Source organism: Homo sapiens, chromosome 2 (genome assembly GCF_000001405.40).
Source record: "Homo sapiens chromosome 2, GRCh38.p14 Primary Assembly".
NCBI lineage: Eukaryota > Metazoa > Chordata > Mammalia > Primates > Hominidae > Homo > Homo sapiens.
The window spans coordinates 23,475,551-23,489,406 of record NC_000002.12 but is presented as its reverse complement, the minus strand read 5'-3'; the positions used below and the strand labels follow the sequence as shown (position 1 = coordinate 23,489,406).

The following is a 13,856-nucleotide window of genomic DNA, read 5'->3' as shown; positions in this document are numbered from 1 at the left end:
AGAAAAGCCTGCAGGAGCCACCGGAATAGGGACTCTGGAAGCTGATGGAATTTCTTTCCCTGGAGACCTTTGGGAAGAGGCTTTAGTGTCAGAGACAATCCATCCCCAGGGCTTTCTGTAGAAGGACCAACCAGGCTCGCGGGTAGGCCCTTCCTCCCAGCACATCACTCAGCACCCCGCTGGGGAACAGGAGGGCACCTTCCAAGTGGACCCACAGTCACAGACCCATCCTTCCTTGAGGATGTCACATTGTTAGAGCCCACGGAAACGCCATGTTCTCTGCTTTGTGATAAACACCAGTTTCTCTCATTCCTTTATTGCTGGGGTTGGAAACTACCCCTCCCTTCCCTAAACAATACTTTTATTTTCTGTCAATCTGTCCACAACCAGGGCATGCAAAGTCCTGTCCTGATGGGCTGTAGTAGCCACCCCAGAAGCGAGAGCATCCCAACCTCCCTGGGACCGGCCAAGTCCGAGAATAAAAGCAAGACCCTTAATACAGATTTAGGATGTGGTCCCTTCTTCTTTGGGGGTAAGCAAGAGGTAGATGGCTTTGCATTAGTCACCAGAATGCCCAGGCAATTCCAATGAACAGCCAAGGTCAGAGGCACTGCCAAGCCTGGAGGAAAATGTGTGGCCCACTTGTGGCCCATCTGTGGGACTTTCTAGATGTGGTTTTGTGTAGGCGACACTCCCTGCTCCTACACTTGTGATTCTGTCTCCTCCTTTTGATTCATGATGTCTTAATGTGTCCTTTTAAGTCTCCTGCAATTCTTCCTGGAACTCAATGAGGTGAAAACAAGTAGAATAGAGAAAATAGAAAACCTTTCTGCTTTTCTCTGGCTCGGATCTGGGCACAGCTCCCACCCATCAGGCCTCTCCTTCCCCAGACACAGGAGCTGGGTCACGGTCTCATTCTGTAATCCCGCAATGGGGAATTGTAGCCAGTTCTGCCAAGAGCCCTCCAAGGCCCCATAGTAGAGGCTGGTCTGGTTCCCAGCATCTGAGTGCTGAGACGAGACTGAGCGGGAGACGGGGGATGCCCAGAGACGGCTGCCAGAGCATCATCCAGTCCAGGCTGGCAGTAGCTGGGCCCCCCTCTCTGCCTTCCATGTCTACTCCTCAGCCCCATGCTGAATAGCAGGTGGAGATTGTCAGCAAAAGGCCAGGGGCGCCCAGGGGTGGAATCTTTCCCCAATCCTGAAAGCAAGGAGCTCAGGCCAGGGGCAGGAGGTGTGTTATTGCGAAGCCCACCTGACAAATAAGACGGGGCCAGTGCCTCCCGTGAGGCAATTCTGTTCAAAGGAGATGGGAAGATTCCAGCTGTTTGAAGCTGTTCTAGAAAGCAGCAAGTGACCCATTGTCTTGCCACGCATCTGCCAGTCCTGACCACATCACTGGCCGTAGGAGGTTAAAAGGCTAGAAGGGGCCTCCCCTCGGGCTGGTTACTGTGGTTATTGAGGAATGAGCATGCACCGAGCCACTGTGGCTTCTCCCACCACACGGCCCAGCTGCAGAGGTTTGTGCAACATTCCAGATGTGTGACAATTACAGGTTCAACATCTAGAAACTCCACCCTGTTCCTTGACACTTGCAACTCAGGGCAGTTCTGTTTTTCCCTGAGAAGAAAAAACAGGGACCTTCATGACTATGGGCCTTGAAAGGCTGGTTATAATACAGGGGCCAACAATGTCTGCAGTGCCCCTACCCAGGAGAAAAAAGAATGCAGCCTTTTAGCAGGGGGAGTGGGACACCCCTGAGGACCCCTTCTAGCCTTGGGCACTGGGGGCAAGTCCTGCAGATGATACAGGGTGGGCTGCTGGCCTTGATGGCAGGTGATGGCATGGCAGGAGAGGAGGAGCTCTTGGCAGAGCTAACCCAGTCCTAATGACCAACCCATGCAGCCAGGGTTCCCAGAATCTGAGCAAAGAACTTCTTCCCCAGGACGGAGTACTTCCAGGGGGTATAGCCAGAGGCTGCAAAGTGTCCCTTGGGCAGGAAAAATGCAATAGGCCTATTAGAAGATGGAAATTCAGGTAGCATGTGCAGAAGACGTCCCCTCCTGCCCCTCTCTCCAGCGTCCTTGGTTTGGCCTCCAAACACCACTAGAAGCCTCACTACAACATTAAGTAGCCAGCCAGCAAGGAGACGCTCTGCTCTATGGCCTCTAGGAAGTACCTCCTGGGACCCATCTAGGGCTCATAGTCTTGCTGGAGAGACAAAGGTCACACACAAATAAAGCCTGGACAAATGACAAGAGGTACAGCTGCTCGCACGAGGGAGTGGGACACCCTGGCTAAGAGTGAGAGCTCTCACATCATACAGATGTGAACTCCAGACCTGGGCTTTCTAGTTCAGCGACCTTGGATAAGTTATTTAGTCTCTAAACCTCAGTTTACTTCTCGGTACAGGAGATAACAACAGTAGCTACAGCCCTAAGGCCACTGGGAGGATTCCACGAGAAAGTGCATGCAAGTTGCTTAGCACAGCCTTGGGCACTTGGCCAGCCCTCACTGGGTTCACAGACTCAGTCATGCCTGAGCTCAGGGGAGGGGTGATGCCTTTGGTCAGGAGTGGTGAAGGAGGGCTTCAGGGAGGAGGTGTGGCCTGAGCAGGGCCCTAAGGATGGGCCCTGTTGACACCAGAGGTGAGCAGGGAGCTGCCCTCCAGGAGGTGGCTGCAATTCCGCAGCTGTGCTCGCCCTCATCAAGCCTCATTCTAAATGGATTATTGTTTATTGGCAGCTTATCCCATCTCTCGGGTTATGAATTATTTACCAGAAAATGACTTCATAATTGTTAATGACAGATGCCCCAAGGACATGCTGACATAACTTCTGAGGCCACAGTGCTAATTGTGGTGGAGTCCCAGAAGCCCCCACATGGCCCCATCCAGAGCGTCACTTCTAGGGACAGAGCCTGACTGGTCCTTGGGGATCGATCATAAATCCAGTCCCCTCATGATGCAGATAAAAACAACAAGATCCAAAGAGGGGCACGGACATGCTTCTGGGTCTCAAAGCCTGTCAGTGGCAATCGTGGGAGGGATAAGCCCCAGCATCTCGGATGGCCCATTCATCACTGTCCAGGTTTGGGCTGCTGGACACTGTGTGCTGATCAGGAGTTCAGACCCTTTTCATGGGGTGAGGGGCTAAATGAAATGGGGCTGTGATAGGTGCTTGCAGATTCCCTACCAGAAGTAAGTGGGAGGGGCCCCAGGACCCTCTGCTGTGGCCTATGGAGAACTGGAATAGGATGCAGCCCAGTGGCTGTCTGGGATCTGGTGGGCCAAGGAGGGCCACCTCTCTGGGAACAGACAGACATCCCCTACGACTGGATGCATTCAGCAAGCGAAGGCTGCAGGATGACTGACAGGTGAGGGTGGGAGGTGGGCATGCCGACACCTTCCTTGAAGATGCATTTGGGCTCAAAGAAGGTATGAATTAAGTCCATGACTCAGCCAGGTCCTAGTCTTTTAGAATAATAAGAGCAAAGCCTTGTACATGTCTTACGCACTATTCTAGGCACTTTATTATGTTAACTCATTTAGTCCTTACAACCACCAGAAAATTTTATGAAAATCTCTATTTTGCACATGAAGAAACTGAGGCACAGGGAGGTTAAGGACTGTGCCCAGAGGTTGCACAGCTGGAAAGGGGCAGGGCTGGGGTTAGGACCAAAGCAGTCTAGCAGCTGTGCTTGTGACCATTTACTTTCTGCTGCTTGCTGTTGCCTGAATGAATGAACAAAGGCCGTGAGGACCCTCTGAATATGGAACATACCTTTCTAAACATGGCTTGAATGCAATGTTGAGCATACTGAGAGCCTGGGTTCTAGCAAGATCTGGGAGGCCTAGCTTCCTCCTGGGCCATGGACTATGCTTGGAACAGTGGGAAGGAGGGCTCTGGCTGGGTGCACCATGTCCCCAGGGGTGGTGGCCTTGGGAGAGCAGGGTCAGTGCGTCACCCTCTGCCCTAACATGGGCAGCTGTTAGCTGCCTTGATGGGTGTGGCTGGCTCCTTTCACACACAATTTAGACAGGTTAAAGGAGCCACTTTAGATCATTCATTTATCTCAGAAACATTTGAGAGCCTTCTTTGTGCCAGGCTTTGTGACTGAGACACACTGACTGAGACAGTCCCTGCCACCAAAGACTCCCGGTAGTCTCCTGAGAGAGTTCTGGGATCTGAGGACGTGGGGCTGAGGGGCCAGGAGCACAGCCAGAGGCCGTGGGAACTGACTTTTTCCATTCATCAATTCCTTTTCAGCCTGTGTAGGGTGTTTGGCTCTGCAGGCTGCCCTCAGTACTGGGGGTGGGAATGAGCCTTGGGCATACTGGACAGTGACAGGACCACACCGGAACCAGGAAGCAGCAAGTACTACAAGGGTGCCAGGGAGAGAAATGGCATAATGGCATCAGAGGAGAGAGAATTCCCTCGGGGGCGGCCCTGGAGCTCTTTGCCAGGAGATAGGTAGGGATGGGAGAGGCGCTTCTGGAAGACTTGCTCAGCGGGACCAAGTGCCCCAAGGTGGGATATGAACACTCAGGTAGGTCAGGGAGAACAGGAGTCTGCAGAGATGGGAGCAAGAGCCCAGCAGAGACTGGTGCAGGCCAGATTTCCTTTATCTGATCCACAGAGGCAGCAGTGGTAGTTCAGGGAGGACCTGCGCAAGATGGCAGAGCACCGCGAATGCATTTCAGAAAGCCTTGAACTGGTGCTAAATAAATAATCACACTGTTCTGAGATGGAGAGGGAGGACACCTCCTCTCTGTGCTAATGGCAGGGGTGTGGCTCTCTGGCTGGCGGGGCCATCCCACATCCCAGAGTGCTGATCCCAGAAGGGCCTGGACAGAATGTCTCTGTGTTCTGACTTCCGTTTTCCACTTTCAGCACCTGCCTGTGTACCTAGAGAACGGAGTGCCGGGTTAATTGTTGCCTCCTGTGCTGTTACTAGGTTACTTTGTAAAAGCAGAAATGTGCTTCTAATGATTTTTGCTGTTGCTGCTACCTTACGAGCCAGACACTTTTATCTAAATGAGTTGCAACACATCAAGGGTGGCCCGTGAGGACTGCTAGGCTACGTCTGTCTTCCACAGGTGAGCTCGGGCTCTGTGTGTGAGGCTGAAATCTCCCCATTCTCTTCACAACCAGCCTGATTACAAGAAAGGGTGAAAATAGGTATTGGCGGCTGTCATGAATGGCCTCCAGGTGGTCTAGGAGCAAGTGGAGGGGTCTCCAGCCTGCGATGGTCATTCTGTGACCTGTTCCACTTGGCTCAGGAGGGTGACAGCCTGGGTCTGGTTGACTCATGGTCTTTAGGCCTCTTGGGTCATGGTGGGTGGGAAGAAGGGCAGCCCATACGTGACTCCTTCAGTTCTCTTCCTGAGTGGGGGTTGGGACCACATTGCAGCCCAGCAGATGGTCAATGCCTGGCTTGACACGTCGTATGTGCTGCACTAATGGTCGTGGGAGGCAGGCAGGCATGTGATTGATACTTGCTGAGAGCTTTTTAGGCTTCAAAATAAGGAGTGGCAGCTGACATGGGAACAAGAAGGGCCCCTGGGTTGTATTAGGAACCAGGACACAAGGACTCTAGTTTCTGCTCTGCCTGATGGGCTGTGTGACCTTGAGCAAGATACTAGACCTCTCTGGGCTTTGGTTTGCTCCTTGGTACAATAAATGGCAACAAGAACCCCTTTTTGTCTACCTCCTAGAGTCCCTCTCATGATCCAGGAGAGGAAGCTATGAAAACACTTTGCAACCTAAAAGCACTAGGTCACAGAAGGAGGTAACATAAATCGTCTATCTTTAGCCTTAGAGGTTCCAACAAATTGGAGTTGGAGTGGGAGTTGCCAAGGAGTCTCTGTTTTGGGGTCAGGGAGTCCACATGGAACCTAGCTGTGAGGGTGGCTCTGGCCAATGCCCTGTGAGCTTTCAGCTACATCCCCATTATATGAGACAGTGACCTTGGGAGGGTTAGCATGGCATTCAAGGCTGTGTCTCCCAATTCTTAGGTTTCCCTTAGCATTTTTGCTCTGATATCTTTGGTCTTTTTATATCTTCAGGCTTTTACACAAGCTGTTCCCATTGCCTAGTGTTCCCTGCACACACACATATAAATGCATAGGTTTCAATTTCCAGCTTTAACTCACCTCTTCTTTGAAGCCTATGGTTTTGATCAAACTAAGCTAGTTGCTGAATATTCTCACCCCCTCAAGTGTGTGCTCTGGGTCAGGGGTTTTTATCTCATATGGTCACTGTGATACCCCCGGTGCCTACAACAATGCCTAGCATTATAGTAGATGCTCACTAAGTCAAGTAAATGAGTTGCTCTTCCATAGCACTTGGTATACATTCTTTTTGCTGCATTTATCACATATTTGCCACATAAGAATTGATCGCGTTAATCATGTAAGAATTCGTATGTACTGGCTGCCCCACCGGACTGAGAGCTCCTTGCAGGCAGGGCGAAAGTCTGACCTCTCTGGATCCCAGACCTAGGACAATGTACAATGTGACTACCAGTAAGTGATGGATGAATGAATGAATGAATGAATGAATGAATGAATGAATGAATGAGTGAGCGTTGCAACACTCTTCTGTTTCACCATGTGCTGGGTATTCATCCTGTAGTCCCCAGTACTCCTGGCACTATTTGTCCTGTTGTAAGAGAGAGAGACAGGGGTGGAGTTGGAGGGAGAGAGGAGAAATTTATGATTAGAAAACAAAAGCTTAAAAGTCTTTCTGAGTGGCCTCTGAGTATGAGTAAATGAGATCATCCCTACAGGAGAGAAGTCCATCAATTTCAGAGCATGGTCACTCAATGTATGCACACACAGTGCTTTCCCTGAGCAGGATGCACACATGGTGCTTTCCCCGATGGATGCTTTTGTGCAAGTTAGAAAGAGGCACTCCTCTCTCTGAACTCTCAAGGGCACAGCGACACTCCCAGAGCACAGGCTGGGGGTCAGCACCCATGTCTCCTTGGCCAGGTGCCCTCACGGAGGACACAAACTCACCACTGTTCCTGGCAGCCGCAGCCACCTGAGCAGGTGCGAGGTAAGCAAGGAGACAGGCCTCTTAGAAAATCAAATTTTGCCGTAAAAATAAACTCTGAGGTTTGTGGAGAAGCTATTTCTAGCCCAGGTGCCAAACAAGGTTCTGTAGCTAGACTGGACGGCTGTGCGCCCCTCCATCTCACCCGCCATTCACTAAGAGAAACTGCCCATGTGCATGCTATCCTCAGCTCCCTGGCTTTCAGGACTGGGGAAAGAGTCCATCCCTGGGCATCTCCAGCCTTTTGTTGACAATCTCCGCCTGCTGTTTAGCATGGGACTGAGGGCAGCGGACAAGGAAGATGGAAAAGGGGGGCATGGCCTTCCACAATCCTGAACTGGGTGGCGCTTTGGTGACCATCGTTAGCCATCTCTGATCTCCCCCCAGCCCAGTCTCAGCACTCAGATGCTGTGAACCAAACCAGCCTCTTCTTCTTTTTTTTTTTTAACCTGTCACCCAGATTGCAGTGCAGTGGTGTGATCTCAGCTCACTGCAACCTCTGCCTCCCGGGTTCAAGCAATTCTCCTGCCTCAGCCTCCCGAACAGTTGGGATTACAAGCATGTGCCACCACGCCCGGCTGATTTTTGTATTTTCTAGTAGAGACAGCGTTTCGCCATGTCAGTCAGGCTGGTCTCGAACTCCTGACCTCGGATGATCTGCCTGCCTCGGCCTCTCAAAGTGCTGGGATTACAGGCGTCAGCCACCGCTCTCAGCCCAAACCAGCCTCTTCTACGGGATCTTGGAGGGCTCTTGGCAGAACTAGCTACAATTACCCATTGTGGGGTTACAGAACGAGGCTGCTGACCAGCTACTGTGGCTGGGGAAACAGGAGGCTCCTACCCTCTTTCCAGCGAGGGCTGACTGGGGTGGGAGCTGTGCCCAGATCCCAGCCAGAGAAAAGCAGGAACCTTTCTACTCTATTTGTTTTCACTTTGCTAAGTTCCAGAAAGGATTGCAGGGGACTTAAAAGGATACATTAAGACACCATAAATCAAAAGTAGGAGAGAGAATCACAAGTGTAGGAGCAGGAAACGGAGGAGGGAATGTTGCCTACATGAAACCGTATTTAGAAAATGCCATACACAGGCTACAGGTGGGCCACAAATCTGCCTCCAGGCTTGGCAGTGCTTCTGACCTTGGCCACACCCATCAGAACCACCTGGGGAGCTTTACAAAAATCCAGATGCCTGGATCCACCTCCCAGAGACTGACTGTGATCTCACAGATCTGGTATGTAGCCTGGGTATGAGAATTTAAAAAATCTCCCTGGGTGATGTCATAGGCAGCCAGAGTTGAGAGTTACCGTTTCGAGAGCATGGAAGAGGCAAATCTGTTACAACATGATTTGTGGGTCCATGAGATCCTATGACAGTGGCTCGGGAGAAGAATATGTCTGTGGTGGAATCAGAGACACCTCTCCCAAGGGTCCTAGCAAAGGAGTCACAAGTGACAGGATAAACATGAACTGCCACAGAATCCTAAACGAGGGTGCACTGTTGTGACCTGGATGGAGGGCAGCAGATATTCTAACAGCCCGTAGAGTTCATGTGGGGTGGCGCAAGATGAACATAGTACAACATAGCCAAGGTACCCAGCTTTTGGATGGCTTGATCCAGGGGGTAGATTTTAAAGGAACTGAAAGATGAGACAAATTACACATCATCCAGGAATATTGTTTTGCAAACTCTTTATAACTCCCATCTCAGTTCCTCAAGCCATAGAATTCAGGAACTTGGTAATAACACCTATGAGTTGAAAGTAGTGGTTAAAGTTTTAAAACACACTGATATCCTCATGACAGCAATTAGAATATCTGGGGGAAGGACCTAGGCATCTGTAGTTTTTTTTTGTTTTTTTTTGAGACAGAATCTTCCGCTGTCACCTAGGGTGGAGTGGTGCAGTGGTGCGATCTCAGCTCACTGCAACCTCCACCTCCCACTTTCAAGCAACTCTCCTGCCTCAGCCTCCCGAGTACCTGGGACTATAGGCGTGTGTCACCATGCCCGGCTAATTTTTTTATTTATAGTAGAGATGGGGTTTCACCATGTTGGCCAGGCTGGTCCTGAACTCCTGGCCTCAAGTGATCCGCCCACCTCGGCCTCCCAAAGTGCTGGGATTACAGGCGTGAGCCACCACGGCCGGGCCATCTGTAATTCTTAAAGCACTCCGGTCAATGTGCACCAAGGGCTAAGAACTGCTGGCCCTGGTGGCACCGTTCCTCCCTTGTCACCTTTCAAGGTCCTGAGAAATGGGAAGGCCGTGGTTATTCCCGTTTTACAGCTCAGAAGACTGAGGCTCAGAAGGTTTTATAGGGCTTTCCCAGAGTTAGAGGTAGATTTGGGACTAGAATCCAGAGCTTGCCTCCAATCCCAGGTTCCCTGCCACCACGCTGCTTATGAGGACACACTGTCGGTGGTTCTGTAATCTCTGAACTGAATAAAATAATCTAATCCCAAGAGATATGCATGAACAGGGCCCTGTGCCGGGCTTGTAGAGAAAAGAGGATGATCCCTGTCCTCAGTGAGCTCAGGGTCCAGGAAGGAAGGTGAGCAGCCTAAGGCAAAGGAGAAGGAGATGCATGGCTAAGGGAGGGAGGGAGGAGGACTGAGACAGTACGAGTACAAGGCTTCCTTGGAGAGCAAGGAAGCAGCTTTGTTTTGGACAGGTAGAGTCTGATATGTGAATCAGACAGCAGGGATCTGCTACGCATGAGCCACTGGAGAAATGGTCCGGACCTTAGGACAGAGGTGCCATCTGGGAGTCAAGTCTGGGAACAGCTGAAGCAGAGGGAGTGGAGGGAGGGCTGGGGATACAGGGAGCCAAGGAAAGCCTGCGGCACCAACAGCTTCCCTTCCTGGCAGGAGGAGGCGGTGGAGCTGGAGGACGGCAGCTCACACGAGCAAGATGGACAGGAAGCAGGAGGAGAGGCCACTTGCTGACACCGAGGTGGACAGCGCAGGCTGGGGGTCTGCAGCCCTGTTGATGGAAAGGTGCGGAGCAGCTGCAGGGCACCAGGCAGGGAACGGACCAGAATCCCAAATGATGCCTGTGTAGGGCTGAGGGTTCGGCTGAGGTTCTGTTGAGGGATCTGGGCCCCAGCTAGTGGGTGTGGTCACACGGCCTTTTCAGGGGTGTGAGCGCCCACATACCTATTTGAAGAAGGGGCTGCAGAGGTCCCCAGAGTGGGCCAGGGAAAGCAGGTACAGTCAGAAGACAAGGGGGCAGCAGAGTGTCTGTGTCGGCCGGAGCAGCAGTGAGATGTCTGCCTGCAGGTCCCTCCTTGAGGTGGACACCACGGAGGCCAAGAGGGGAGTGGACAAGGGGAGAGCTCAGGAAGTAAGGCTGTCCATGGCACGAGGGAGGGAAGGCAGGCAGCGGGCAGGGGAGTGCGGTCAGAGAGGACGCCTGCAGGATGGACTGGGGGAAGTAAAGGCGGGGGGTGTGGAAGCCCAGGACATGGCCCATGGTGTTCTCTAACTGCCGTTAGCTCTGGAGACATTTGCAACCTCCTCCGAAGACACAGGCGGCATCTAGGGCATTTCGTTTGCTGAGGGCAGGGGGACAAACGGCCTGGACAGACAGTACTGAGACGGCCTCAATGATGGAGGCAGGGGATGCTGCCCAGGGTGGCTCCAGCACCAGTGACGATCAGCACTGCCCTTCACCACCTCCAGAGCCCGAGGTGTCTGCTAATGCCATTCTTGGCTCAGCCTTGGGCTCTGCGCAAACTGAGTCCTCGGCTCAACTCCCCCCACCCCTCTTTCCTGCAGTGCAGGTATCAGATTTCACTCCTCCTAGCTGGTTCCAGTATGGCCTTCTTACTTATTTGGGTGATTTCCACCAAACCACAGAAAAGCAGAGCGCAGCCCTCCACACATGGCTCTTGAACTGGCCTGTTTTGTAGCAGGTTACACAGGACCCTGTGAGCTGGCCCAGTTTCCACAGTAAACTGATAGCTGCTTCCACTGATCCCCAGGGGTCACAGAACCATCTAGGGGCCTCGGAACCTTCCTATCATCTTGGAAATCAATGGGACTCCTGCATGTGAGGGGAGGGCACAGCCAGCACCAGGCTGCATGTTGCGGACACTCCCAGGCACAGTCCCAGCTGCACGTAGTGATTTGTTTACTGAGAGCTCATCAGGTACTGGTATGAGTGGCAGAGGGAGCGGAACACAGAGACAGATCAGGTATGATTCCCATCCTCCAGGAACTGGCCGAGTGCTAGGGAAGACAGACTTGAGTTCACAACAGGGACCCTGGTCTGGGGGCACAGAGATAGAGGCCCACATAGGGTGCATCTGACCAGCTATGCCTGGTGAAACTGCCCTCAAAGTCCCTCCCCATCCTAAAGTACATGATTGCCAGAGCTCAGGACGAACAAGAGAACAAGAGCCATGTGCCACCCTGCATCAGCAGCAGGGAAGATTAGACCCCAAACTAAGGGTCAACATTGAAGAAACCAAAACCCACTGCCCTGGGGTGTCTCTGTTCCCTTCACTCTTGCCAAACTCACAGGTGCATCCAAGGAGAGCTGGCTTCTGTGAAGAATACGTCCTCAATCTTTTCTTTGCCCCGTGTAGGAGCGGGGATGCCATGGCTGCCAAACTGACGCTGCGCTGTCTTGTTTTCCAACTCCCCTTCTCTGACCCAACAGGAGGCCTGGAGGCAAAGGATTCCCCAGTGCCGGCGATATCGCTAGCAAGGACAGCTGTCGCCCACCAGTGGTGCCATGGGCGTGTGCCAACAGCCCACCAGCTCCCTAGGTCAAGAACCCACCTCTCCTCTGGCTGCCCCCACTGGGCTGCTGGGAGGCTGAAGGCTGGATGCACTGTGGGGTCACAGGGTGGGGAACCTTCCATTTCAGTGGCTGATCCTGGCCCAGCCCAGAGCCTTCTCCCGCTTCCTGCTGACAACCAAGGCTGCGCCTAGCCTGAGATTCCAAAGCCATATTTTCTCCTCTCTGTGCAAGGGTTCTGGCAGGGGACAGCCATCCCCAACCTCAATGTCTCTGAGTCCAAAGAGAAAGCTCTCTGACCAGCAGAGAATCTGGACGTGGCAGGAGCCTTGTTGGTCTGATGTTCTGCCCCTGCTGCAGAGGGAAGCTGGAGTTTGGTCCAAGGCAGAGGCCAGGAGGCCACCGGTCAGAAGGCATGAGGGTGGGCGGCTGAGAATACAGCAGTCCCGGGGCTGCTATGGCCTGTGCTCACCCAGCACTAGGCCCTGTGTGTTATGCAGACGCAGCCTGTACTTCTAAAGGCTCAAGTCCCACAAGGACATACAAGGCTGGGCCAGCTGGGCCTCCACTGTCCTGGATCCGAGAGCCCACTCCTCTGCCCTCCAGCCTGCTTCATTCCAGGCCCAGCTCCTGTCCCTTCAGTAGCATGAAATGTGGTGAACGTTGTCAACTCCAGCTCCAGGCCTCCTTGCCTCTGCAGGCACATTCCTGGCCTGCCTGGTGGGGGCTAAAGCAGATCCCAGATCACGGATTCTGTTCATAAGATTGTGCCCTCCCAAGGCAGGCCAGGTTCCCCGGCATTTCTGGCTGCCTGATCCTGCTTGGAGAACCTGGAGTCAAAAGTTTAAGCTAGGACTCTAAAAATTTAAGCCAAAGAAGTAATCAAATGACTATGCAGATACATATGCAACAATGTTTGTTGTGCTGTTATTTGTAATAGTGAAATATTTAAAATATGCTAAATGTCCATCGTTAGGGCATTAAGTGAATCATGTATGCTATTATATCCACAGAGTAGACAGTCTGTAAAAATGGTGATATAGATTTCTATTTACCGACATACGAAATGGCTTGATACATTGTGGAATCTAAATAACATGCCCCCCGAACAGTACCCACAGTCAGATCCTGTGTGCACTGTTTACGTATGTGCATAAGAAAAAGCTTGGAAAGAAACACTAAAATGGTTATCTCTGGGGAACAGGATTATAAGTCATTTATATACTTTTAGCTACTATCCTTTAAAATCCCTTTATAATGAATAAATAATATTTTCATGATATTTAATAATACATTTTAATACCAAAACTTAATTATAAAACTTAATTACAGTTTTTAAGGAGGTTAAAGGTCATCTAGTTGCTGGCCATCCCTAGATCTAACCTCCTGGGGAAAGCCAAGACCCAGGTAAGCAAGGAACTGTCACAGAGATTCTCTGATGGGGCACGGTGGCTCACGCCTACAATCGCAGCGCTTTGGGAGGCTGAAGCGGGTAGATCACTTGAGGTCAGGAGTTGGAGACCAGCCTGGCCAACATGGTGAAACCATGTCGTGATAGCACACGTGATAGCCAGTCGTGATAGCACATGCCTGTAGTCCCAGCTACTTGGGAGGCTGAGGTGGAAGGATCGCTTGAACCCAGAGGCAGAGGTTGCAGTGAGCCAAGATTGCGCCACTGCGCTCCAGCCTGGGCTGGACAACAACAAAAAGAGTCATAGATATTCTCTTTGGTTGATTCTAGGAGGATTGAGGCTAAAATGGCTTAGCTAAGCCCCAGTACCAGTTGATCACACACGCCTGTGGTAAAATCGCACTGAGGAAGAGGGCGAGGGGACCTACTGTACTTTCTTCCCTTCCCCCACACATTTAGCATGAGAGGAGAGAGCTGGCTATGCTCAGGTCTGATGCCTTTCTTATTTCCAGGTGAGCTAAGCAGAGACCTACCTTGCGCCGCCCGTCTCTGGCAAGCTCAGGATTCGTCCCCAGGATGCGAAAACCACGATGGCCGCCAACACTTAGCAAAGCGTGAGCATCACCAGGAAGCCAGATAGTCTAGAAAGA

At 51.9% G+C, this 13,856-nt stretch overlaps 1 protein-coding gene across 1 annotated transcript in view, besides 3 other annotated features; it reads right to left on the bottom strand.

The window, feature by feature from the left end:
- The window catches only part of KLHL29 (kelch like family member 29), a 323,428-nt gene that overhangs the window by 219,200 nt on the left and 90,372 nt on the right, over positions 1-13,856 (bottom strand). Inside the window, exon 2 of the mRNA NM_052920.2 lies at positions 13,740-13,847. The gene's annotated coding sequence lies outside the window, so the exon portion shown is untranslated. The remainder of the gene's footprint in view (positions 1-13,739; positions 13,848-13,856) is intronic.
- Positions 717-1,216: an enhancer, noted in NCBI's record as "H3K4me1 hESC enhancer chr2:23711061-23711560 (GRCh37/hg19 assembly coordinates)". NCBI's record gives its function as "activates a minimal SCP1, AML or CMV promoter by ChIP-STARR-seq in naive H9 embryonic stem cells {active_cell/tissue: H9 hESC(naive)}" and the evidence as "EXISTENCE:reporter gene assay evidence [ECO:0000049][PMID:30033119]".
- Positions 1,217-1,718: an enhancer, noted in NCBI's record as "H3K4me1 hESC enhancer chr2:23710559-23711060 (GRCh37/hg19 assembly coordinates)". NCBI's record gives its function as "activates a minimal SCP1, AML or CMV promoter by ChIP-STARR-seq in naive H9 embryonic stem cells {active_cell/tissue: H9 hESC(naive)}" and the evidence as "EXISTENCE:reporter gene assay evidence [ECO:0000049][PMID:30033119]".
- Positions 2,631-3,131: an enhancer, noted in NCBI's record as "H3K4me1 hESC enhancer chr2:23709146-23709646 (GRCh37/hg19 assembly coordinates)". NCBI's record gives its function as "activates a minimal SCP1, AML or CMV promoter by ChIP-STARR-seq in primed H9 embryonic stem cells {active_cell/tissue: H9 hESC(primed)}" and the evidence as "EXISTENCE:reporter gene assay evidence [ECO:0000049][PMID:30033119]".